General features: G+C 46.8%; 1 annotated feature.

Moving 5' to 3' along the window:
* Positions 529-1,787: an enhancer, noted in NCBI's record as "VISTA enhancer hs329". NCBI's record gives its function as "enhancer in: limb[5/5]" and the evidence as "EXISTENCE:transgenic organism evidence [ECO:0001131][PMID:17130149]".

Genomic DNA, 2,671 nt, shown 5'->3' with positions numbered 1-2,671 from the left:
GCTGGGGCGCTGGCATGTGAGGAGAGTTACACCCCTGCTGAATGCAAGCCATGGGGGGAACTGCTGAGGTCTGGCTCAGAGCCAATCATGGTGCATTTGGACTCAGCTGGGAGATTCTTTCTAAGAATTGGATCTTTCCCCTCAAAGAACAAGTTGCCAGGGAAGGCAGGGAGCACATTGAGTCTGCATGTGTGTGAGGAGAGGCCAAGATTGGGGCTTAAGCCTGAATTTAACTTGAACTTGCTTCTCCCCAAAGTATATTCTGTCACCAAAAGATCAGATCCAGAGAGAAGTGTCCAGCCTACTGGACATCTCTAGCTCAATTCTTTCCACTCCACCAGAAAAGGCCCAGGCTCTCCCCGTGTCAGAGGTTCAGGACCATGGTGCTGGACAGGGTCGGGTGCTGGACAGGGTCGGGCCCAAGAGACCTCCATTACAAGAGACTCCCTGGTCGACATTCATGGAGAGGCTGAGCCTGAGGCATCATGGGGATCAAGGCCAGCAAAGACCAGGAGCACAGCAAGACACAATCCCCTTCCACCATCTTCCTTCTCAATGGAGAGGAGGAGGAGGACAGCTGGGGACAGGGAGGAGGAAGAAGGTGGCTGCCCTTCTCGGTCCCCCTCCCCACCCTGCATTCTCCATGTCATTACAAAGTGTAATCTGGTGTGGGGGGCAGAAGGGTTCTTATCAACGTCAGCCTGAAATATAGATATGGGCCAGGTTACAAATTGCAAAATGTTCAGGCGAGAGGCGAGGCTATCAATAAAGCAATTTCTAGTGTCATAACAGCTTCGCTTTCTGCAAACCACCTTTCAAAAATTTTCTTCTGGAAACGCTACAGCCTACCATTAGGGCTGGATTGTGAATTTAATGGATCCCGTACAAATAATATTCCACCATAATGGAAAAGGTTGAAGTCACTGAAGACAGATGAAGTCATAAACACGTATAATTGAGAATCAAAGACCGATAAATTTTAAACTGCTATTCATTTTCTCTTTTAGATGATGACTTATGCCGTTGGAGCGCCTGGAAAATGGAGGAGATTACTTGGGGAAAATTATAACAATAAATTTTCCAAACATACACCTTGATTATGCTTCGATTTTTTGGAGGCAAGGATTGCTGAAAGCTTGCAGGCTAAATGGCACCATAAAATAGGCTTCCTGCTCTTTGCCTCTGAAGCAGGCATGCCTGGAGGTGTGATTTTCTCTCTCTAAATGGAGGAAATGAATTGTGTAATTTATTGCAAACTGGAGCACAGTGAGATTAGATCAGCATATCCTATCAGAGGAACAACAATCAATCAACTTCTAGTTAACAGCTTGAAACGCATAAACCAGGCCTCCTAATGGCTTTCCAATTTAATAGATTGATAGACTTATCCATTCTCCAGGGATGAATTAAGGAAATCGACTAGTTTCACACACGTGGTGTACCTCTGACAGTTTTTTTGGGGAGGGGGAGCCTGGATATTGGTAAAGTACAGATGATCTTTTACAGACAATCCGTTTTAAGATTCGTCATTGAGAAAAGTAAGTAACCATGGAAGATGTGGAATAGGTTCATTTAAATAACGTGTTATCCAGGGACTTTCCAAGTAGGGGAATTGAGGACATTTAAAGGGGCTGACGCAGCCAGAGATAAAATAGAACTCGGCCTCCCTTTCCATCGCGGTTGGGCCTGTGTCTGCCCTCGCTGGGGCAGTCATGGCTGGCAGCTCTCAAAGTTTGGTGCTTAGCAGATAACCTTCAGAGAAGAAAGGCTGTTGTATTCAGGGGACCCTTCCACTCAGACCCTGGTGGAAGATGAACAGCTCCTTTGCCCCAGTGGTGCTTCAAGCTGGGAAAAGGCTCCCTGTACGCTTCCACCTACATCTTCCTGCAGAAAAGCATGTTGTTGTTGAGGCTGTGCTTAATGAGGTTGGGGACATGGGGTGTAGGTTGAGCCTCTGTCACCTACATGTAGGCTTTCAGTGTTTCCTGGAGGTGACTTGCTGAGAAATATCAGCCCACTCATTGTCTGAAAGCTCACCACTAGAAATGGATCCCTGAGGATAAGCTTTGACGCCTTCATAGAATAGAACCTGATAGTCGTACCTTAGCGTCATCTTGTCCAGCTTCTCAACTAGTGAGGAAATCCCTGACCCATGGCATCTGGCCTCTGCCTAAACACTTCCAGGGATGAGGATCTCATTACCTTCCAAGACAGCCCGTCCGCTGAGGAGTTCCAATTGCAAGAACAATCTTATACTGGACTGGGATCTGTTCCACCCGATAGATCCTGGTTCTGTTTCCTGGAGCTACCTAGAACAGGCCTACTCAGGCTGCCCCACAGGAGCCATGTCAGTGTTGGAAGGCATCAACAAAGCTCCCCAAGTCTTCTCTTCTCTAGACGAGACAACTAGACAATTCCTTCAATAATTTTCTCTTTTTTTGTGGGACTGGAAAGAGTGACATATGGAGTCACCAACATGTCGCAGTGATTTGTTGAGCATGTGATTTCCTCTCCAGCAATGGTCATTTGGGGAGAAGGTTGGAGAGGCGGTGGGTAGGATGAAGATAAGGGAATTGGGGGTCCATGCCCAGCAAAATCTGTCACAATAATAACCTGACCCTCACCTAGTGCTTCATGATAGAAAAGAGCTTCCAAAAACTGCATTCATTGG

Source organism: Homo sapiens, chromosome 10 (genome assembly GCF_000001405.40).
Source record: "Homo sapiens chromosome 10, GRCh38.p14 Primary Assembly".
NCBI lineage: Eukaryota > Metazoa > Chordata > Mammalia > Primates > Hominidae > Homo > Homo sapiens.
The sequence above is the reverse complement of the archived record's forward strand: the minus strand, read 5'-3'. Positions and strand labels throughout refer to the sequence as shown.